General features: G+C 42.8%; 1 protein-coding gene across 15 annotated transcripts in view; it reads left to right on the forward strand.

Annotated features, from left to right (window-relative positions):
* The window catches only part of RBM6 (RNA binding motif protein 6), a 137,100-nt gene that overhangs the window by 16,129 nt on the left and 97,034 nt on the right, over positions 1 to 23,937 (forward strand). For 8 of the 15 annotated variants that reach the window (XM_047447131.1, NM_001349193.2, NM_005777.3 and 5 more), the window contains exons 2-5: positions 6,298 to 6,407; positions 11,192 to 12,470; positions 15,781 to 15,870; positions 19,045 to 19,114. In XM_047447131.1, the coding sequence (XP_047303087.1) occupies positions 6,364 to 6,407; positions 11,192 to 12,470; positions 15,781 to 15,870; positions 19,045 to 19,114 (1,483 nt within the window). In that variant the 5' untranslated portion in view covers positions 6,298 to 6,363. Of the gene's footprint in view, positions 1 to 6,297; positions 6,408 to 10,919; positions 12,471 to 15,780; positions 15,871 to 19,044; positions 19,115 to 23,937 lie in introns of those variants that run through there. The other 7 variants (NR_146071.2, NM_001349194.2, NM_001167582.2 and 4 more) reach the window with 5 other exon arrangements.

A 23,937-nucleotide genomic window follows, 5' to 3' on the forward strand; every position in this document is an offset into this window, starting at 1 on the left:
CCAAAGTGTTGGGATTACAGGCATTAGCCACTTTCTGCCCCCTCCCCCGCTTTTTTTTTTTTTTTTTTTTTTTTGAGACGGAGTTTCACTCTTGTTGCCCAGGCTGGAGTGCAGTGGCATGATTTCAGCTCACTGCAACCTCCGCCTCCCGGGTTCAGGCATTTTCCTGCCTCTGCCTCCCAAGTAGCTGGGATTACAGGCTTGCCACCATGCCTGGCTAATTTTGTATTTTTAATAGAGATGGGGTTTCTCTATGTTGGTCAGGCTGGTCTCGAACTCCTGACCTCAGGTGATCCTCCTGCCTTGGCTTCCCAAAGTGCTGGGATTATAGGCGTAAGCCATCACGCCTGGCCCACGCTTTATTTTTTTATTTTTATTTTTTATTATTTATTTATTTATTTTTTGAGACGGAGTTTCGTTCTTGTTGCCCAGGCTGGAGTGCAATGGCATAATCTCAGCTCACCGCAGCCTCCGCCTCCTGGGTTCAAGTGATTCTCCTGCCTCAGCCTCCTGAGTAGCTGAATTTACAGGCATGCGCCACCATGCCCAGCTAATTTTGTATTTTTAGTAGAGACGGGGTTTCTCCATGTTGGTCAGGCTGGTCTCGAACTCCAGACCTCAGGTGATCCTCCCGCCTCGGCCTCCCAAAGTGCTGGGATTACAGGCGTAAGCCACCAGGCCTGGCCTGCTTTTTTAATTTTTTATTTATTTTTTCTTTTTAAGAGGGAGGGTCTTGCTGTGTTGTCCAGATTGGAGAACAGTGATGAGATCATAGCTCACTGCAGACTTGGATTCCTGGACTCAAGCAATCCTCCCGCTTCATTCTTTGCAAGTAACTGGAAGTGCAGACATGTGCCACCTGCCTTTTTTGTTTTTTAAATTTTTCATAGAGATGGGGTCTTGCTATATTGCCTAGGCTGGTCTCAAACTCCTGGCCTCAAGCAATCGGCTTCCTGAAGTGCTGGGATTACAGATGTTAGCCACTGGCCTGTTGTGAAAATGTTTTGACTTTCTTCTCATTTTCTTTCTTTCTTTTTTTTTTTTTTTGAAGTAGAGAGAGTCTCACTATATGGCCAATGGTGGTTTCAAACCCCTGAGCCCAAGGAATCCTCCTGCCTCAGCCTCCCAGTGCTTGTCGTGCTAGGACAACAAGCATGAGCCACTGTGCCTAGCCCCTTCTCATTTTCTTTTTCTTTCTAGTGCATAAGCAGGCAACCTTATTTTCTTATGTGTATATTCTAAAGATATGTTCTTTGCAGTTACCATGGGAATTACACTTAACATCTCACAGTTATAATCTAATTTGAATTTATACTAACTTAAGTTCCATAGTATACAAATCTCTGCTCCTATCCAGCTCCTTTCTCTTCCCTTTTCTGTTAAGTCATGGATTACATCTTTGTAAATCGTATCTCAGGAACCTAGATTAATAATTTTTTATGCATCTGTCTTTTAGATCACATTGAAAGTGAAAAGTAGGAGTTACAAAGCAAAATTGCAATAATGCTAGTTTTTACAGTTGCCCCTGTATTTGCCTTTACCAGAGATCTTTCTTTCTTTTTTTTTTTTTTGGGATGGAGTCTCGCTCTTTCGCCCAGGCTGGAGTGCAATGGCGCAATCTCAGCTGACTGTAACCTCTGCCTCCCGGGTTCAAAAGATTTTCTTGCCTCAGGCTCCTGAGTAGCTGGGACTGTAGTTGTACGCCACCACACGTGGCTGATTTTTGTATTTTTAGTAGAGATGGGGTTTTGCCATGTTGGCCAGGCTGGTCTTGAACTCCTGACCTCAGGTGTGAGCCACCGCACCTGGCCGAGATCTTTATTTCTTCACATGGCTTCACGTCTAGCTTTTAAAAATTCATTCTGGGCCGGGCGCAGTGGCTCACGCCTGTAATCCCGACACTTTGGGAGGCTAAGGCGGGCGGATCACGAGGTCAGGAGATCGAGACCATCCTGGTTAACACAGTGAAACCCCGTCTCTACTAAAAACACAAAAGGCCGGGTGCGGTGGCTCACGCCTGTAATCCCAGCACTTTGGGAGGCTGAGGTGGGTGGATCACGAGGTCAGGAGATCGAGACCATCCTGGCTAACATGGTGAAACCCCGTCTCCACTAAAAATACAAAAAACAAAACAAAACAAAAAAAACTATTAGCTGGCATTGCGGTGGGCACCTGTAGTCCCAGCTACTCGGGAGGCTGAGGCAGGAGAATGGCGTCAACCCAGGAGGCGGAGCTTGCAGTGAGCCAAGATCACGCCACTGCACTCCAGCCTGGGAGACAGCAAGACTCTGTCTCAAAAACAAAAAACAAAAAACCACAAAAATTAGCCGGGCGTGGTGGCGGGCGCCTGTAGTCCCAGTTACTCGGGAAGCTGAGGCAGGAGAATGGCATGAACCCAGGAGGTGGAGCTTGCAGTGAGCCGAGATCGCTCAACTGCATTCCAGCCTTGGCAACAGAGCGAGACTCCATTTCAAAAAAAAAAAAAATTCATTCTGAAGAATTCCTTTTTTTTTTTTTTTTTTTGTAAAAATGGAGTCTCACTCTGTTGCCCTGGCTGGAGTGCTGAGTGCCATGGCATGATCTCAGCTCACTGCAACCAACCCCCACTCCAAGTTGAAGCGATACTCCTGCCTCAGCCTCCTGACTAGCTGGGATTAGGGGTGCCTGCTACTGCACCTGGCTAATTTTTGTATTTTTAGTAGAGACGGGTTTCACCATCTTGGCCAGGCTGGTGTCGAACTCCTGACCTCGTGACCAACCCACTTCGGCCTCCCAAAGTGCTGGGATTACAGGCGTGAGCCACTGTGCCCGGACTGAAGAATTCCCTTTTAGCATTTCTTACAAGGTCTGTATAGTGGTAATGAGCCTCCCTCAGCTTTTGTTTATCTGAGAATGTCTTGATTTTTTTCCTTTTTTTTTTTTTTTTTTGAGATGGAGTCTCGCTCTGTCGCCCAGGCTGGAGTGCAGTGGCGTGATCTCAGCTCACTGCAAGCTCCGCCTCCTGGGTTCACACCATTCTCCTGCCTCAGCCTCGTGAGTAGCTGGGACTACAGGTGCCCGCCACCACGCCTGGCTAATTTTTTTTTTTTTTTTTGTATTTTTAGTAGAGACGGGGTTTCACTGTGTTAGCCAGGATGGTCTCAATCTCCTGACCTTGTGATCCGCCCGCCTCGGCCTCCCAAAGTGCTGGGATTACAGGTGTGAGCCGCCTCGCCCGGCCAATGTTTTTCCCTATTTTTTGAAAGACAGTGTTGCCATTTACAGAATTCTTGGTTGGCAATTTATATTTAGGGTTTTTTTTTTTTTTTTTGAGACAGAGTCTTGCTCTGTTGCCCAGGCTGGAGTGCAGTGGTGTGACCTCGGCTCACTGCAACCTCCGCCTCCAGGGTTCAAGTCATTCTCCTGCCTCAGCCTCCCAAGTAGCTGGGACTACAGGTGCCCGCCACTACGCCTGGCTAATTTTTTGTATTTTTAGTAGAGACGGGGTGTCACCATGTTGGCCAGGCTGGTCTCGAACTCCTGACCTCAAGTGATCCACACGCCTCAGCCTCCCAAAGTGCAGGGATTACAGACATGAGCCCCCACGCCCGGCCTAGGTCTTGTATGATCATACATTTTGCCTTGGCATTCATATGGCTTTCTAAATTTCACCATATACATGTTGCTTTGGAATGTCCTAATTTGCCAAAGAGTTTCACCTCAACTTCTGTGGGCATCTATCTGTAATCTCTTGCCCCAAGTGCCTGTTAGTCTGTAGTCTGCTTTGCAGCTTTCATTAGCAATACCTGCTGCTTTCTCTGCCTGAGTTTTGTATTAGGTTGAAATAGAAACATGCACCTTATGTCTGTCCTTCAAATACCCCCGCAGACAGGGTAGAACAGATATGTACGATAATTTGCAAATAAGGTCTGCTTTGCTCTTTGAGGGAGGGAGCTGGGAATTGGGCTTCTACTGCTTTAAGACAAAAAACACTGCCATGCTGGAGAGGGGGTAGGGCAAGGTTGAGTAAAACACCACAGAACTTTCCTTCTGTTTTGAAGATGGCTTTTTCTTCATTGGATATTTGCTTGTAAACCTTTGACTCTTTTCTAAAACTGTCAAATTTGGTTCAGACAGTTACTACTTGTTTTTCTGATGTTTCTATGAAGGAATGAGACCTTGAAACTTCCTAGTCTGCCATTTTGATGACCTATGGGCTGTCTTTGTACTCTCTTGATAGTGTCCTTTGATACACAGAAGTTTTTAATTTTGGTGAAGTCCCTTTATCTACTTTTTCTTTTAAAGTTCCTTGTGCTGTAGGGGTCATATTTAAGAAATCATTGCCAAATCCAAGGTCATGAAGATTTGCCTCTTTTTCAGTAGCTATAACAAAGGTCCTGGAAATAACTTCTTATCTTGACTTGAGTTACATGTCTGTCTTCAAAGCAATGACTGTGGTGAGGGTAATAGATTATTCCGATTGCTCATGCTGGATGGTGTCCGATCAGGTCTGAGACAGTGGGGTTGATACTACAGTGCTGTTTCCAAAAAGGAAGGGCTAGTGAGCGCTAGAAAAATCAGTAAATACTTACTTCATGTAGTAAATGTGAAGCATTCATAGCACATTGAAAAGTTTATGGTGCCCAGAGTACCTTTTTTTTTTTTTTTTTTTGAGACAGCCTCACTCTGTTTCCTGAACTGGAATGCAGTGGTGCGATCTTGGCTCACTGCAGCCTCAACCTCCTGGGTTCAAGCGATCCTCCCCCACTTCAGCCTTCCAAGAAGCTGAGACTACACATAGTCATCATGCCTGACTAATTTTTGTATATATATTTTTTAAGATGGAGTCTCGCTCTGTCACCCAGGCTGGAGTGCAGTGGCATGATCTTGGCTGACTGTAGCCTCCGCCTCCCGGTTTCAAGCGTTTCTCCTGCCTCAGCCTCCTGCATAGCTGGGATTACAGGTGCCTGCCACCACACCTGGCTAATTTTTGTATTTTTAGTAGAGATGAGATTTCACCATGTTGCCTAGGCTGGTCTCGAACTCCTGACCTCAGGTGATCCACCTGCCTAGCCTCCCAAAGTTCTGGTAATTTTTGTATTTTTTGTAGAGATGGCATTTTGCTATGTTGCCCAGGCTGGTCTCAAACTCCTTGGCTCAAGCGGTCTGCCTGCCTTGGCCTCCCAAAGTGTTGAGGTTACAGGTATGAGCCACCGTGCCCGACCCCAGAGTACACATTTTAATTAAAAACTTATTTTTCTGGCCGGGCACGGTGGCTCACGCCTGTAATCCCAGCACTTTGGGAGGCCGAGGTGGGTGGATCACAATGTTAGGAGTTCGAGACCAGCCTGGCCAATATGGTGAAACCCCATCTCTACTAAAAATACAAAAATTAGCCGGGCATGGTGACGCGTGCCTGTAGTCCCAGCTACTCGGGAGGCTGAGGCAGAAGAATCGCTCGAACCGGGGAGGCAGAGGTTGTGGTGGGCTGAGATAGTGCCACTGGACTCCAGCCTGGGCGACAGAGAGAGATTCTGTCTTTAAAAAAAAAAAAAAAGTATTTTTCTTATTATAAATTTAATATGTAAGTGATGTAAGTGTTTGAAAGTGACTTCCAGCTGGATGCGGTGGCTCATGCCTGTAATCCTAGCACTTTGGGAGGCCGAGGCGGGCGGACTGCTTGAGCTCAGGAGTTTGAGACCAGCCTGGGTAACACAGTGAAAACCCGTCTCTACTAAAATACAAAAAAATTAGCTGGGCGGCCGGCGTGCGCCTGTAGTTCTAGCTACTTGGGAGGCTGAGGCAGGAGAATTGCTTGAACCCGGAGGTTGCAGTGGGCTGAGATCGTGCCTTTGCACTTCAGCCTGGGCAACAAAGCAAGACTCCATCTCTTAAAAAAAAAAAAAAAAAAGAAGGCCGGGTGCAGTGGCTCACGCCTGTAATCTCACACTTTGGGAGGCCTAGGTGGGCGGATCATGAGGTCAGGAGATCTAGACCACAGTAAACCCCGTCTCTACTAAAAATACAAAAAATTAGCTAGGCGTGGTGGCGGGCGCCTGTAGTCCTAGCTACTCGGGAGGCTGAGGCAGGAGAATTGCTTGAACCCGGAGGTTGCAATGGGCTGAGATCATGCCTTTGCACTCCAGCCTGGGCGACAGAGCGAGACTCCATCTCAAAAAAAAAAAAGAAAAGAAAGAAAAGAAAGACCTTCAAAATTATTGCTGCTGATGTGGTCCCTCATAAACCAAGCAGTGGGAAACTGGTTTAGCTTTTAGTTCACATTCTAAAGTACTAATTTTTGTGGTTTATTTTGTACAGGTACTGCTATAACCAGAATTTGGTAGAAAAAGGATTTACTTGTTGGGGCCCTCTTGATAAAAAGAGATGTGGGGGGATTCTCGACCTGCTAACAGAACTGGACCTTTTCGGTAAGTTCTCAAATTTGAATATTGAAATTGCCAGTATTTTAATTATAAATGTGTAACATTTTCGCCTACTATAAATGAAGATATTTTCTCTGTGGAGAAATAGTTTCTGATTTTTTAAAAATAGAAATTTGGCTGGGCGCGGTGGCTCACGCCTGTAATCCCAGCACTTTGGGAGGCTGAGGCGGGCAGATCATGAGGTCAGGAGATCGAGACCATCCTGGCTATCACGGTGAAACCCCGTCTCTACTAAAAAATACAAAAAAAACTAGCCGGGCGTGGTGGCGGCTGCCTGTAGTCCCAGCTACTCGGGAGGCTGAAGCAGGAGAATGGTGTGAACCTGGGAGGCGGAGCTTGCAGTGAGCCGAGATCGTGCCACTGCACTCCAGCTTGGGCGACAGAGGAAGACTCTGTCTCAAAAACAAAAACAAAAAAAAAAAAAGAAAAAAAAAGAAAAATAGAAACTCAATTTGGAAAATAATTTCGAAAATGATTGTGAGCCTGAATACCCAGCATGCCAAATGTTTTGTCACATAGCATTTTAAAATTTTATTTATTTGTTTGTTTTTTGAGACAAGTCTCTCTCTGTCTCCCAGGCTGGAGTGCAGTGGTGCGATCTTGACTTACTGCAACATCCGCCTCCCGTGTTCAAGTGATTCTCCTGCCTCAGCCTTCTGAGTAGCTGGGATTACAGGCGCGTGCCACTATGCCTGGCTAATTTCATTATTTTAATATTAAAAAATACCCAAATATTTTATTTCTTTTTGTCTCTTAGCGAAGGAATACATATTTGGCTAGTAAGGAAAGCTAGCAAAATTTACATAAATGTTTATAAAAGTTGTATTGAGTTCACTAATTTATGTCTAGAATTCAGAGCTGTGCCTTGTCTGTGGCATGTTGACGCAGTTTGCTAAGCCACCTCTCAATTTTAGGGGTTACTTGGTACCAAGAAGAGTGGAGAAAGTGGTAGCATTTAGTTGTAAATAGATTGTATTTTAAATTTGTAGGGAATTAATTTTTTTATAGCTAGTATCATACACACTGTATTTTAACTAGTATTTAAACATTTTTCGTATTGTGTTTACAATTAATGAGATGCTATATGAATGTGACTTTTTTGGTTTTACTTGGTACATAGCAAATAAATCTGACCTTTAAATGTATGCATTCATAAGTATTGTTGCTCCAGTTGAAACTTCTATTAACTAGTACATTTTCCTTTTTTTACCTTTTTTCAAAATGGAGTCTCACTCTGTTGCCCATGCTGGAGTGCAGGGGTATGATCTCAGCTCACTGCAGCCTTTGCCTCCTAGGTTCAAGTGATTCTCCTCCCTTAGCCTCCTGAGTAGCTGGGACTACAGGTGTATGCCACCATGCCTGGCTAATTATTGTATTTTTTTTTTTAGTAGAGATGGCGTTTCACCATGTTGGCCAGGCTGATCTCAAACTCCTGACCTCAAGTGATCCACCTACCTCAGCCTCCCAAAGTGCTGGGACTATAAGTGTGAGCCACCGCACCTGCCATTTGGATTGGCAATCTGCAAGATTTTATTACTTAAATGCAACAGATGTTCTCATTCATTGTTCTGAAGCTTGGAGTTCCAATGAAAAATTTAGGTGGAGAACTGAGTTTAGAAAATCCATATAATGTTTAGTAAAACTAGTATTTCATAAATGCTGAATGACAGAGATTGGTCTTTAAATTAAAACAACAGTGTGATGTTGGGTATTTTTTTTCTTTCAAAATACTAAGGATTAGATCAGTGGTCAGCAAACTACAGCTGATAGCCTGTTTTTGTAAATAAAGTTTTACTGGAAAACAGCCACTCTTACTCATTTGCAGATTGTGTATGGCTGCTTTCATGCTATGATGGCAGAGTTGAATAGTTGTAACAGAGATTGTATAACCCACAAAATCCGATATGTTTACGAACTGGCTCTTCATGGAAAAAGTTTCCTGACCTCTCATCTAGATCAATGGGGTTGTACGTTACCATTTAAAAATATTTAGGTTGTAATCTATCCTCTTATTACTTGTATTTATGGGTAACTATTTTGTAAGTAAGGCTGTTTCGTATAGAATTAACGTGGTTTAGGTAAGCATTCAGAAATGTTAGGTTAATTTAGCTTTATTGTCTAACTTTTTTCAAATTTAGAACATTTGTCTTTGACTCGTTTAAACTTATTTAAAATTATATTTTCCCACCTTAATTTTAGTTTAAATGTAAGTCATTATATGCTGTTTTTTAACATCTTTGACTAGGAGGGAGACAGTTTTTGGGAACTAATTTGAACCAAAACAGATATAGGAAAATGATTTTGTTACATTTCCTTTGAACTTTTCTTTTAAAATTTGTTTTTATTTGGTTGAAAATAATTTTCATAACTACTGATATTTTATATTAGTAGAATGGTTTCTTGATTCGTCTGTATAAAATACAAATCTAAGAACCCTGCTACAGTAAGTTACTCTAAATCTATTTGATCTTAATTTAGAAGAGTAAGATAATCTTTAGGCCATGTTGGATGTGTTCTGGTCAGAAAACATGTAGATTTCATACCTCAGTCCTCATCCCATGAGTGTCTGATGAAGCTTAAATCTTCCTGCAAGAAAGACTTGAATGATTTTAAACATGAGAGACACTGTATTTAGTGGTAACATCTTAATTTTAGTGTTAAATTGTATTGCCTAAGAAGAACATCTAGGGCGGGCGTGGCGGCTCACGCCTGTAATCCCAGCACTTTGGGAGGCCGAGGCGGGTGGATCACGAGGTCAGGAGATCAAGACCATCCTGGCTAACACGGTGAAACCCCGCCTCTACAAAAAATACAAAAAAATTAGCTGGGCGTGGTAGCGGGCGCCTGTAGTCCCAGCCCCTTGGGAAGCTGAGGCAGGAGAATGGCGTGAACCCGGGAGGCGGAGCTTGCAGTGAGCCAATATCGCGCCACTGCACTCCAGCCTGGGCGACAGAGCGAGACTCCGTCTCAAAAAAAAAAAAAAGAAGAACATCTAAACTTGCTCCTCTTATGATGAACCACATAGACATAACTAGTGTTAATGGGGGTCAGTGGAAGTCATCATGTTCTGAAAATCCATTAAATGTACATCATTCTAGTGTTTAGGTTAATGCTGTTAAATTCCTGTTACTTTAAGAAAGGGTTGGCCGGGCATGGTGGCTCACGCCTGTAACCCTAACCTTGGGGAGACAGAGATGGGTGGCTCACCTGAGGTCAAGAGTTCAAGACCAGCCTGGGCAGCATGGTAAAACCCCATCTCTGCTAAAAATAAAAAAATTAGCTGGGCATGGTGGCGCATGCCTGTAATCCCAGCTACTCTGGAGGCTGAGGCATGAGAATTGCTTGAACCCAGGAGGCAGAGGCTGCAGTGAACCGAGATCATGCCATTGCACTCCAGCCTGGGCAACAGAGCGAGACTCCGTCTCAAAAAAAAAGAAAAAGAGAAAGAAAAGGTTTGGCATTGCAACTATTTCTCTTGAACTGAGTGACCCAGAATCAGTTGTCCTTTGAATTTTAGTATAGTAGCATAGTCTGAGCTCAGAAGGGCCTTATGATAGACCCTGTATGTTCTGGGAGGCAAGAATTGAGTTGGTATTAATATCTTAATGCTTTTGTTTTACTGCTGAATAACAGATGACCCTTCAGGTCTTTTCATGTTTTCCTTTTTCATGTCTCCCTGCCTAGGATCCTAGGTGCCTAATTGCCTACTTAAACTAGTTTAGGGAATCTTGGACTGAAGCCAAAACATGTAAAATGCCCTGAAGGTTAGGCAAAGGGAAGAAGTTGGGTAGTATGAAAGATTAGGTCACATCTTGTTTATCTCTTGAGTTCTATAAATTGAGAATGTAAATTTAATACTATGTCTATTTTTAAAATGTATTTTATTGCCATGAAAAAGTAGCATGAGACATTGGAATATGGAATATCAGCTTCTTCATTTGGGTCATGGGGATCATGCTTGAAGACCTAATGCTCTCTCTAGGTCTATCTCAGCATTGAGCCCCTGGATGCTGTTGCGTGGCTTAGATGACTTATACATGCTTTGTGGCATGATTCATACTACCTTCTACCTTCTGTGATACCCTTGGGTAGTTATAATAGGACCCAGGTTAGAGTGCTTCTTGGTGGAGCCACTGTAGAACTGGGATTTAGATGCAGCCAGGGCTGATGCTCAGCTGGTGAACACTGGTGTGCTTGTTCCTACTGGTGATTTACAACCAGTGTTTCTTCTTTTTGGGCCTGCATCCATTTTGATTGGGTGGTGTCCATGCTGTATCTGTAATAAAATATTTTTGAATGTTACCGCTGGATGCAGCGTGAGAAAGATACCTCCTGAAACTTACTGTAAGAAATTTACAGTGCATTGATTTTTCTGATATATAGGAATCGTCATGTTGACCTTGGAATTCTTAAGTTCCCTGGCTGTAGGAAATGGAAATTTTTGTAGTATGTCACCATTGTTAGCTTATTTGGTATTGCGGATTTTCCCTGTTGCAGGACTGGGTGAAAGCTTTTTCTGCAGCAGTCATGTTGAAAACCTTGTGTTGACTTTCCTCGTGTTCTGAAATGGGAGCATAAAAGTTTACTCCGCCACTTCGTCTTAAAATAGCAAAACTTTGCTGTTTTCTGCAGATCTAGGACCTTGTTACAGAACTCTGCCAAAAAAAAAATGTTTACAGAAGAATGTGCTGTGATTAGAGAAGAATATGCTGGTGTGTAGATTTCAAACTCTCTGGACAATATGAATAACACTGTCTTTGTTTCTACAGTGGGAGCCAAGAAGAAAGGTTTGCTCCCGGGTGGAACAGGGATTATCCTCCTCCTCCCCTTAAGAGTCATGCTCAAGAGAGACACTCTGGCAACTTTCCTGGCAGAGATTCACTTCCCTTTGATTTCCAGGGGCATTCGGGGCCTCCTTTTGCAAATGTAGAGGAGCATTCTTTCAGCTATGGAGCTAGAGACGGACCGCATGGTGACTATCGAGGAGGGGAGGGACCTGGACATGATTTCAGGGGGGGAGATTTTTCGTCTTCTGATTTCCAGAGCAGAGATTCATCACAGTTGGACTTCAGGGGTAGGGACATACATTCTGGGGATTTTCGGGATAGAGAAGGACCACCTATGGACTATAGGGGTGGAGATGGTACTTCTATGGATTATAGAGGTAGGGAGGCACCTCATATGAACTACAGAGACAGGGATGCTCACGCTGTTGACTTCAGAGGTAGGGATGCTCCTCCATCTGACTTCAGGGGCCGGGGCACTTATGATTTAGATTTTAGAGGCCGGGATGGATCCCATGCAGATTTTAGGGGAAGGGATTTATCAGATTTGGATTTTAGGGCCAGAGAACAGTCCCGTTCTGATTTTAGGAATAGAGATGTATCTGATTTGGACTTTAGAGACAAAGACGGAACACAAGTAGACTTTAGAGGCCGAGGTTCAGGTACTACTGATCTAGACTTTAGGGACAGGGATACGCCACATTCAGATTTCAGAGGTAGACACCGATCTAGGACTGATCAGGATTTTAGGGGCAGAGAGATGGGATCTTGTATGGAATTTAAAGATAGGGAGATGCCCCCTGTGGATCCAAATATTTTGGATTACATTCAGCCCTCTACACAAGATAGAGAACATTCTGGTATGAATGTGAACAGGAGAGAAGAATCCACACATGACCATACGATAGAAAGGCCTGCTTTTGGCATTCAGAAGGGAGAATTTGAGCATTCAGAAACAAGAGAAGGAGAAACACAAGGTGTAGCCTTTGAACATGAGTCTCCAGCAGACTTTCAGAACAGCCAAAGTCCAGTTCAAGACCAAGATAAGTCACAGCTTTCTGGACGTGAAGAGCAGAGTTCAGATGCTGGTCTGTTTAAAGAAGAAGGCGGTCTGGACTTTCTTGGGCGGCAAGACACCGATTACAGAAGCATGGAGTACCGTGATGTGGATCATAGGCTGCCAGGAAGCCAGATGTTTGGCTATGGCCAGAGCAAGTCTTTTCCAGAGGGCAAAACTGCCCGAGATGCCCAACGGGACCTTCAGGTATGTTGATGGGGTGGATTGCTTTTTTTTTTTTTTTTTTTTTTTTTTTTGAGACGGAGTCTCGCTCTGTTGCCCAGCCTGGAGTGCAGTGGTGCGATCTCTGCTCATGCAAGCTCCGCCTCCTGGGTTCATGCCATTCTCCTGCCTCAGCCTCCTGAGTAGCTGGGACTGACTACAGGCGCCCACCACCACGCCTGGTGTGAGCCACCGCGCCCGGCCTGCTTTTTTTTTTTTTCTTTAAATAAGACTTTTGTGAAGGATGACATTTATTTATTTATTTATTTATTTATTTTTGAAACGGAGTCTTGCTCTGTCACCCAGGCTAGAGTGCAGTGACATAATCTCAGCTCACTGCAACCTCCGCCTCCCAGGGTCAAGCAATTTTCCTGCCTCAACCTCCTGAGTAGCAGGGATTGCAGGCATGTGCCACCATGCCCAGTTAATTTTTGTATTTTTAGTGCAGATGGGGTTTCACCATGTTGGCCAGGCTGGTCTCGAACTCCTGACCTCGTGATCCGCCCACCTCGGCCTCCCAAAGTGCTGGAATTACAGGCATGAGCCACCGTGCCTGGCCAGTTTTTTTTTTTTTTTTTCATTTTATTTTTATCTTTGCATAACCATTAGAAAGCAAAATTTGTATTCAGGAGTGGAATGTAGGAATGTAAATCTCTAGAGAAAAGGTCCTCAGCTCAGATCATATATATGTGTGTGTGTGTGTATATATATATATGAATATATATGTATATATATGAATATATATTTATATATATATATTTCTTTTTTCTTTTATTCTTTTCTTCCTGCTTCACTTTCCATTTGTGTATATATGTGTGTGTATATATGAAGGAACTATATATATATATATTTGAGACACGGTCTTGCTCTGTCACTCGGGCTGAAGTGCGGTGGTGTAATTATGGCTCCTTGCAGCCTTGACCTCCCAGGCTCAAGCGATCCTCCCACCTCAGCCTTCTGAGTAGCTGGAACTACAGATGTGCGCCAGCCACTATGCCTGGCTAGTTTTTTTTTTTTTCCTTTGAGAATGAGTCTTGCTCTGTCGCTCAGGCTGAAGTGCAGTTGTGCGATCTCAGCTCACTGCAACCTCTACCTCCTGGGTTCAAGGGGTTCCCCCGCCTCAGCCTTCCAGGAAGCTGGGACTACAGGTATATTTCACCATTCCTAGTTAGTTGTGTTTTTTTTTTTCTTTTTTGAGATGGAGCCTCACCGTGTTGCCTAGGCTGGAGTGCAGTGGCACGATCTTGGCTCACAGCAACCTCCGCCTCCCGTGTTCAAGCAGTCTTCCTGCCTCAGCCTCCTGAGTAGTTGGGACTGTAGTTGTGCACCACCAAATCTGACTAATTTTTGTATTTTTTGTAGAGATGAAGTTTAGGCATGTTACCTAGGCTGGGCTGGAACCCCTGATCTCAAATGATCCACCCTTCTCAGCTTCCCAAAGAGCTGGGATTTCAGGCATGCACCACCATGCCTGGCCAGCAATTTTTGTATTTTTTTGTAGACAGAAGGTTGCAACATATTTCCCAGGCTGGTTTCAAATTCCTGGGTTCAAGCAGTCCCCCCACCTTAGCTTCCCAAAGTGCTGGGATTACAGCAATGAGCCACTGCCCCTACCCTTTTGATGTGTGTTTATTCATTATTTTGTTTTATGATGCTGATTTACATGCCTTGGGATAATTTAGTTTGAAAGTATATGTCTTTGGGAGTTGACTCTTGCAACTCTCGCTTAGTTAGACCTGTGATTGTTTAGGGATCATTTTCTTATTTAAATTCATTGAGAGAATACTTAGGAGTCTCCCTAGTTGTGAAGAGCTGATATTAATGTTGCAACTATCCTCTTGCAGCTAACGTAATTAACTTAAATGTTAAACTTCTTGAATATATGATTTAAGCAAGGAGGGTTATATTTGTAATTTTACAATGAAGGTATTCTCTTTTAAAGTAGATTTGGCTGGGTACAGTGGCCTATGCTTGTAATTTCAGTGCTTTAGGAGGCTGAGGTGGGAGGATCACTTGAGGCCAGGAACTTGAGACCAGTGTGGTGCAACCTCAGGAGAGAATGTGAGGGTGGGGAAGAAAAATAAGGCCAGGCACAGTGGCTCATGCCTGTAATCCCAACACTTTGGGAGGCAAAGGTGGGCAGATCATTTGAGGTCAGGATTTCAAGACCAGCCTGGTCAACATGGTGAAACCCCATCTCTACTAAAAATAACAAAAATTAGGCCAGGCGTGGTGGTTCTTGCCTGTAATCCCAACACTTTGGGAAGCTGAGGCAGGTGGATCATTTGAGGTCGTGGGTTTGAGACCAGCCTGACCAACACGGAGAAACCCCATTTCTACTAAAAATACAAAATTAGCTGGGCGTAGTGATGCATGTGTGTAATCCCAGCTACTCGGGAGGCTGAGGCAGGAGAATCCCTTGAACCTGGGAGGCAGAGGTTGCGGGGAGGCAGAGGTTGCACTATTACACTCCAGCCTGGGCAGCAAGAGCGAAACTCCATCTGAAAAAAAAAAAAAAAACGAAAACCAAAACCAGCCAGGTGTGGAGGTGGGCGCCTGTAATCCCAACTACTTGGGAGGCTGAGGCAGGAGAATTGCTTGAACCTGGGGGGCGGAGGCTGCAGTGGGCTGAGATTGTGCCACTGCACTCCAGCCTGGGCGACAGAGCGACACTCTGTCTCAAAAAAAAAAAGACATTATCTAGTCATCTTCTCTCACCAGAGGTATGAAGTACTGCTAGTTTACAGCCCATTCTCCAGCTCTCAGACCAGGGAAATTTTTCTTTTTTTTTGAGACGGGGGTCTCGCTCTGTCACCCAGGCTGGAGTGCAGTGGCACAATCTTGGCTCACTGAAACCTCTGCCTCCCAGGTTCAAGTGATTCTTCCGCCTCAGCCTCCTGAGTAGCTGGGACCACAGGCGTGCACAGCACAGTTGGCTAATTTTTGTATTTTTAGTAGAGACGGTTTTACCATGTTGGCTAGGCTGAGAAAATTACTGTTTTGAGACTATGTTAGTGTGTCTTTCTGGTTATTAAAGTCTTACTCAGTCTTGTCTCTCGTAATGTTTTGCTTTACTTTGAAGACTCTTTCAGTGAGACTTGGTCTTAGCACATTTACATTCTTATGATTTGAAGTCACATTCTGGCACTCAGAACAATAGAGAAAATTGTAATTTTTTATATCTTCACGTGACATGTCATTATCATTTTTGATCCTGAGTGGCTAAATTTCATGTTGATTTGTGTTTTGTGCAGTAAAGTATATTTGTGAAATAATTTTTCATTCTCAATTTAAGGATCAAGATTATAGGACCGGCCCAAGTGAGGAGAAACCCAGCAGGCTTATTCGATTAAGTGGGGTACCTGAAGATGCCACAAAAGAAGAGGTAAGGCATGTCTTCTCTCCTGTTTCTCTGTGTCAATTAAAAATTAAAAAAACCTTTTAATTTGAAAAATTGTAGATTCACAAGAAGGTGCAAAGAAATGCACAGAGAAGTCTTGTGTATTTTTTTCCCATCTTCCCTCAGTGTTAATATTTTGCACAACTGTGGTATAGTATCTAAACCAGGAAATTGACCCTGGTATAATACATAAAGTTTATTCAGATTTCACCATTTATACATGCACTCACTGAGGTGAGGTTAAAAAAAATTATGACAAATGATTGCTCTCTTTAGACCTGATCACATCCTTTAGAGCATATTATTTCTGGAGTATGTACATAAGGATGCAGTTTATTTACAATAGTAAAAACTAGAAACTGCCTAACTGCCCTGTATCAAAGGATTGGCTGACTAAATTAAGTCTGAACTTATGGCAGTGCTCGCTCTGTGCCAGGCATTGTGTGATACTTACAAGCATTAGTTCATTTAATTATCACATATTTAATATAATCACTCTAAATATTAAGCATTACTGTATGTAATTGTTCTAGATACTGAGTGACACAGCAGTGTATATTATCAAGTCACTGCCTCCATGGATAATGAAAAAGCAAGCAAAAGGATTACACAATTTTAGTCAGCAAATAAATACTCTGAAGAAAACTAAAGTACAGGCGGGGCATGGTAGCTCGGCCTGTAACTCGGAGACAGAGTCTTGCTTTGTCGCCCAGGCTGGAGTGTGTGGCGCGACCTTGGTGCACTGCAACCTCCACCTCCCCAGTTCAAGCAGTTCTCCTGCCGCAGCCTCCCGAGTAGCTGGGACTACAGGCACACACCACCACGCCCAGCTAATTTTTGTACTTTTAGTAGAGACGGAGTTTCACCACATTGGTCAGGCTGGTCTTGAACTCCTGACCTCAGGTTATCTCCCTGCTTCTGCCTCCCAAAGTACTGCCATTACAGGCATGAGCCACCAAGCCCAGCCCATTTTTGATTTTTTTGAGGCAGCGTCTCACTTTGTTGCCCAGGCTGGAGTGCAGTGGCACAATCACGGCTCACTGCAGCTTCTACCTCTTGGGCTCAATCGATCCTACCACCTCAGCCTCCTGAGTAGCTGGGACCACGGGCATGCATGCTAATGGGGCTGTTTTTTGTATTGTGTAGTTAGGGAGACATCACTGAGGAAGAGGCATTCGAGCCCAGGCTTGAATGCCGTGAGAGAACAGTTTATATGAATATGGGGAAATGAACTGCCCAGGCAGTTCATGCTGAGGAAGTGCTGTGGCCCTGGACTGTAATGAACCCAGTACATCATTTTATATTTAACACATGAGAAACTGGACACTAAAAGGTTACACAGCAAGTGAGCAGAGAGCTTGGAATGCACACAGTATGATTTCAGAGCTTAAGCCTTTGAAGGTTATGCTCTTCTGCTTTTCTTTTTTTTTTTTTTTTTTTGAGACAGAGTCTCACTCTGTCACCCAGGCTGGAGTGCAGTGGCGCGATCTCGGCTCACTGCAACCTCTGCCGCCAGGGTTCAAGAGATTCTCCTGCCTCAGCCTCCCAAGTAGCTGGGATTACAAGCACCTGCCACTGCACCCAGCTGATTTTTGTATTTTTAGTAGAGATGGGGTTTCACCATCTTGGTCAGGCTGATCTTGAACTCCTGACCTCAAGTGATCCACCCGCCTCGGCCTCTCAAAGTGCTGAGATTACACGCATGAGCCACCGCGCCCAGCATTTTGTTTGTTTGTTTGTTTGTTTGTTTTTGAGACAGAGTCTTGCTCTGTCACCCAGGCTGGAGTGCAGTGGCACAATCTTGGGTCACTGCAACCTCCGCCTCTCGGGTTCAAATGGTTCTCCTGCCTCAGCCTCCTGAGTAGCTGGGACTACAGGCATGTGCCACCACGCCCGGCTAAGTTTTTGTATTTTTAGTAGAGACGGGGTTTCACCGTGTTAGCTAGGATGGTCTCGATCCCCTGACGTCATGATCCGCCTGTCTCGGCCTCCCAAAGTGCTAGGATTACAGATGTGAGCCACCGCTTCTGGCCCTGCTTTTCCTATGTACCTGAGAATTTTTAAATATTTATTTATTTATTTTTGAGACAGGGTACTCCAGACTGGAGTGCAATGGCCCAATCAAGGCTCACTACAGCCTCAAACTCCTGGGCTCAAACTATCCTCCCGAGTAGCTGGGATTATAGGTGTGAGCCAGTACTCCTGGCTAATTTTTTTTTTTTTTTTGAGATGGAGTCTCGCTCTGTTGCCCAGGCTGGAATGCAGTGGTGCGATCTTGGCTCACTGCAAGCTCCTTCTCCCGGGTTCACGCCATTCTTCTGCCTCAGCCTCCCAAGTAGCTGGGACTACAGGTGCCCGCCACCACGCCTGGCTAATTTCTTGTATTTTTTAGTAGAAACGGGGTTTTACCGTGTTAGCCAGGATGGTCTCAATCTCCTGACCTTGTGATCTGCCCACCTCGGCCTCCCAAAGTGCTGGGATTACAGGCGTGAGCCACCGTGCCCGGCCAATTTTTTTTTTTTTTTTTTTTTTTTTTTTTTAAAGATAGTGTCTCGCTCTGTTGCCCAGGCTGGAGTGCAGTGTCATGATCTCAGCTCACTGCAGCCTCAGCCTTCCAGGTTCAAGTGATTCTCCTGCCTCAGCCTTCCAAGTAGCTGGGATTACAGGTGTGTGCCACCACACCAGGCTAATTTTTGTATTTTTAGTAGAAATGGGGTTTCACCATGTTAGCCAGGCTGGTCTCGAACTCCTGACCTCAGGTTATCCACCCGCCTTGGATTCCCAAAGTGCTGGGATTACATGTGTGAGCCACCACGCCCGGTCTCTCCTGGCTAATTAAGAATTTTTTTTTTTTTTTTAGAGATAGGGTCTCACTATGTTGCCCAGGCTTGTCTCAAACATGTGGCTTTAAGCAATCCTCTCACCTTGGCCTCCCAAAGTGCTGGGATTATAGGCAGGAGCCACTGCATCCCACCAATTTTTGAATAATTATGTTCTACTCATTCAATATGTGAATGCCTTGAGTGTTCATAGTTTAACTTTGCTTTTCCAAAGTAATCATGGCTTTAAATTATGTATGATAAAAACTGTTAGGGAAAATCTGATATTCAGTGTTTGATTATGATTTGTATCATTTGTATAAATGCCATATTTTTGCAGATTCTTAATGCTTTTCGGACTCCTGATGGCATGCCTGTAAAGAACTTGCAGTTGAAGGAGTATAACACAGGTGAGTTTCTTGACTTGCATATGGCCTTGGGTTAGGAAGGGTCTTTGTCAGATCTCTGCATCATGTGCTACTTAAAATTTGTTTCAAGAAACCACAATTAAAATTTCCAGAAGCCTCCCGTTGGTGCCTCCAAATAACAACCAGCTTTAGTTTTAGCTGTGGTTCTTTGTGGATGTTTGTCCACACATGGGTGATGAGGATGCATGTTCCAGTTCTTCTGAATGCCTGTGATATATAGAGTGTTGCAGCAATTGCCTTGAATATATTTTATATAATTATTAAACTTGCTATGCATGTTCTTCATGGTGGTGGAATGTTTATGCTTGAGCCTAATAGGATTTAATAAGCTTGTTGTATGTAAAATTTTACATTCATTGCTTCAGTAAAATTTATGACTTCCCAGAGAAATTGTACAAATTAGTGGTTTAATTTTCAGTTTTGCTTTGAGAATGGAGTCCTGTTACAGTTATTTTGTTGAAATCCATGAATAGACCCAGAAGAGCTTTCCCTTTGACATCTGTTCTGTGGTCTGAATGGTAGATTAAACTTTTCAGAATATCCTCCTAGTTGTATTTCACAGTACCAATTTCAGTCATTTCCTTTAAATCTTACTACAGTAAAAGTAGGCAAAGGTGAAATGCCAAGAACTCAAGGTTTTTGACCAATATTTTTAGAACTATGTATAATAATAAGTTTATTTATTTAAAAATAAAGGTAATCTTTAGGTGACCTATTTTGCAGAATTTTAAATGGAAGGGAATAGAGCATGAGTCTTCACAGAACTTAGAATTTCAGTAATTCAGTTAAAGACATCTTCAAGTAAGAACATGTCATATTTTGAGGATATAATTTACTATTAGCAGTTTATCATGGGATAAAAATTTTGCATTAACTAGATAACTTCTTCAGAATGCTTCTGCAGAGGAAAATTATCCACAAAATAAATTTTGGTGCTTGAAAGAATATGGTGTTAAGTTCAGAAATAATTTGTTCTGTAATTTGAGAACAAGCTCAGAAGTATTATTTCTCAGAGAGCCAATTATTTATTTGTTTTAAAAACATCAACCCTGAATTTGTGGAAGCATGAGTAAGAGTAGATATATTATTATTCTTGGTATCTCACTTATGTTGGTTATATTTATTTTTTGCATATGCCTTATACATGCTTTCTTTGGGAACTCAAGGTAGAATTTACAGGCTGGAGATGCTTTTTAACTCTCAGGATAATAACCTCAGTCTGGTTTCATGAACTGTGCTTTCATTAAGTATTGATATGTTTAGGAAAGGAGATGTCTTAATATTTAAATAGCAGTTCAAACTCCAGTTTCTTTAGTATTCATTGACTTTCTAATTGTCAAATTTGTCAGGACAGTAAAAATTGTATTAACATATAGTGTCTAGAGAGGAAGTTCTTAAATTTGCCGATTGTGGTAGCTGTTAGAATTGGCAGACTGAAGACATTGATACACATGGGAAATCATTCAGGGCAGTGCTTAAAAATAAAACGAAAAATACCTTTCAGCAAATACAATCTTTTCTTGGCATTCTGTTAAGTTGTGTTTTTTATTTTTGTTTTTTAGTGAAAGAATTGGATTGCTAGTTTCATGTTATTTATATTACATCTCTATGTGACAAATAGGATGAACTTTTGACAATATCAGCCAGATCATGTTACTCCCATGTCTAAAACCCTCTTAGGGCCTTCATCTTCACTTGGAAGAAATTCCCAGCTTCTTCTTTTGTCTTACAAACCCATGCGTGAGCTGACCCTTGGCTGTTTGATCTCATTCAGTACTGCCCTCCACCTACCCTATTTTGCTGTAGCCACACTGAGCTTTTCTCTTGTCTTTGACCAATACAAACTTCTTTCTGTGTCAGGGTCTTTGCACTACTCTTCTCTCTGATCTTTACTTGTCTTCTGGGGTTTAGTTCTTGGCTTCAGTTTCACGTCTCTGAGGCCTTGTGTCACTCTCAAATCTAAAATCATCGGGCAGTTGTTTTCCATCATATCCTTGTTTGGATCTATCACTGATTGGATATTTCTATCACTGGTATTTTTCAGTTGGATCTATCACTGATCTATCACTGGTCACTGATTGGATTGAATCTGTCAGTGGTATTGGATCTATCACTGATATTTTTCTCCGTGGTTTTGTGTATCTTATTTCTCTCACTAGAGAGGAATGTCAGCAGGAGCCTTATTCCTTCTTGTTTCCACCAGTGCTTGACACTCGGTAGGTTCCCTATATGCATGGAATAGATTATTATTTATGGTGTATGTGAAGAGCAGCTGTGATTTCCCCTCAGGTGAGGAACATAAAAGGGTAGTGTAGGTTTCACAGCAGTGCAGCTTAGGTCTTACATATCTGTTGAAGAATATGTCTTGGAACAATCAGATGTTCTAAGAACTATAGTGTTTACTGTTAAAAGATCATATGTGGTAGTCAGGCATGGTGTTGCACACCTGTAGTCCTAGCTACTTGGGAGTCTGAGATGGGAGAATTTTTTGAGCCTGAGAATTTGAGATCAGCCTGAGCAACATAGCAAGACCTTGTCTCTTAAAAAGAAAAAGAAAAAAAAATGTGAATCTTAGTAGTAACAGTGACTTAAAAATTTTTTTTTATAAGAGAAAGGGTCTTACTCTGTTGCCCAGGTTGGAGTGCATTGGTACGATCATAGCTTACTGTAACCTCAAACCCCTCGGCTCAAGTGATCCTTCTGTCTCAACCTCCAGAGTATTTGGGACTACAGGTGCGTACCACCATGGCAGGCTAATTTTTAAACTTTTTGTAGAGGCGCGGTCTCACTATGTTTCCCAGGCTGGTCTTGAACTCCTGGGTTCAAGTGATTCTCCTGCCTCATCCTCCCACAGTGCTGGGATTACAGATGTGAACCAGTATGCACAGACAAAAAGGTGACATTCATAGGTGAAAACTGGTAATAAATATTTTAGGCTGAGTGATGACCTGCAGAGACCATGCAGGATGGATATTGCTCATAAGAGGGGAATTGTGGAGTACAGTCTGTCCTGTTAGTTGATGTAATGGAGGGCTGATCTATAACACAGGAGAGAAGATTAACGCCTCTTCGTTGACTCTAGTAATGTATTAGTGTAATTTTTGTCTCCTCTAGAGCTGTATAAGTACAGGGTCACAATTTTATCTAGAACCTGTGAGGTTAAATGAGCTTATGAATTTTTCAAGTTATAGAAATGTAGTTTACATAGATCATATGGGAATTATATCTCCCAGGGGAATGTGTACTCAGACATAATACTTACGCTGCAAAATTATTAATATTCTCACTAACAGGAGTAAATAAAGTCTCACAGTATAGGCCAGGATTTGCCTCAAAATGAGTTTGTTGAATTTTACCAAAAAACTTGACATTTATGGGATTTTGGAATTGTAGATAAGAGATTTTGGACCTATATATGTTGTGTATATTTGAATTTTTCATTTGCCATTTACAAATACATTATAACCCCATGAATTGTAAATTATCTTGAATTATATGATTATTTCTGGAAAAAGTACCAGGAGTAAAATGTCTTTTGGTGACTAGACAAACTCTAGTATATATATAAAATGGAATACTTCTCAGCAATGAAGAAGAAACTACTCATGCACCTAACAACATGGATGAATCTCAATGGCAATATGCTGAGTGAAAGAAACTAGACTCATAAGGATATATACACTACCATAAGGAGGAATGAAATACTGATGTATGCTACAAGTTGGATGAACCTTGAAAACATTATAAAAGAAGCCAGACACAAAAGACCAAATATTGTGCAATTCAGTTTATATGAAATATCTAGAGAAGGCACACCCGTAGAGATAGAAAGCAGATTGGTGGTTGCCAGGGGCTAAGCGGGAATGGGGAACGACTCCCTAATGGTTATGGTACTTCTTTTGGGCTGATAGAAGTGTTCTGGAACTAGGTAGTAGTGATGGTTGCATGACATTGTGAATGTACTTAATGCTCCTGAATTGTACACTTTAAAATGATGCATTTTATTTGATGTGTATTTGCTTACTTTGTTTTTTTTTTTTTTTTTTGAGATGAAATCTTGCTCCCGTTGTGTAGGCAGGAGTGCAGTGGCATGACCTCGGCTCACTGCAACCTCCATCTCCCGGGTTCAAACGATTCTCCTTCCTCAGCCTCCCAAGTAACTGGGATTACAGGTGTGTGCCACCACACCTGGCTAATTTTTTGTATTTTTAGTAGAGACGGGGTTTCGCCATGTTGGCCAGGCTGGTCTTGAACTCCCGACCTCAGGTTATCTACCTGCCTGGGCCTCCCAAAGAGCTAGCATTACAGGAGTGAGCCACTGTGCCCAGCCAGCTTACAATTTTTTAAAAAGGCTACATACTATATGTGTATGTGTGATTTCACTTATGTGACATTCTGGAAGGGACAAAATTTTAGGGATTGGAAATAGTGGTGGCCAGGGTATTGGGGGAGGAGTTAACTATAAAGCGGAAGCATGAGGGAATTTTTGGGTATAATGGAATTGTTCTATATCTTGATTGTGGTGATGATGTATCAATGTTAAATTCCCCGAGTTGATAACTACTGTGGTTATGTTAGAGAACATCTTTTTTCTTTTCTTTTTTTTTTTAAACGGAGTCTCGTTTGGTCACCCAAGCTGGAGCGTAATGGCGCGATCTCAGCTTACTGCAACCTCTGCCTCCTGGATTCAAGCAATTCTGCCTGCCTTAACTTCCTGAGTAGCTGGGATTACAGGCGCCTGCCCCTACTCCTAGCTAATTTTTGTATTTTTTTTAGTAGCGACAGGGTTGCGCCATGTTGACCAG

The sequence above is a fragment of the Homo sapiens genome, chromosome 3, assembly GCF_000001405.40.
Source record: "Homo sapiens chromosome 3, GRCh38.p14 Primary Assembly".
Lineage (NCBI taxonomy): Eukaryota > Metazoa > Chordata > Mammalia > Primates > Hominidae > Homo > Homo sapiens.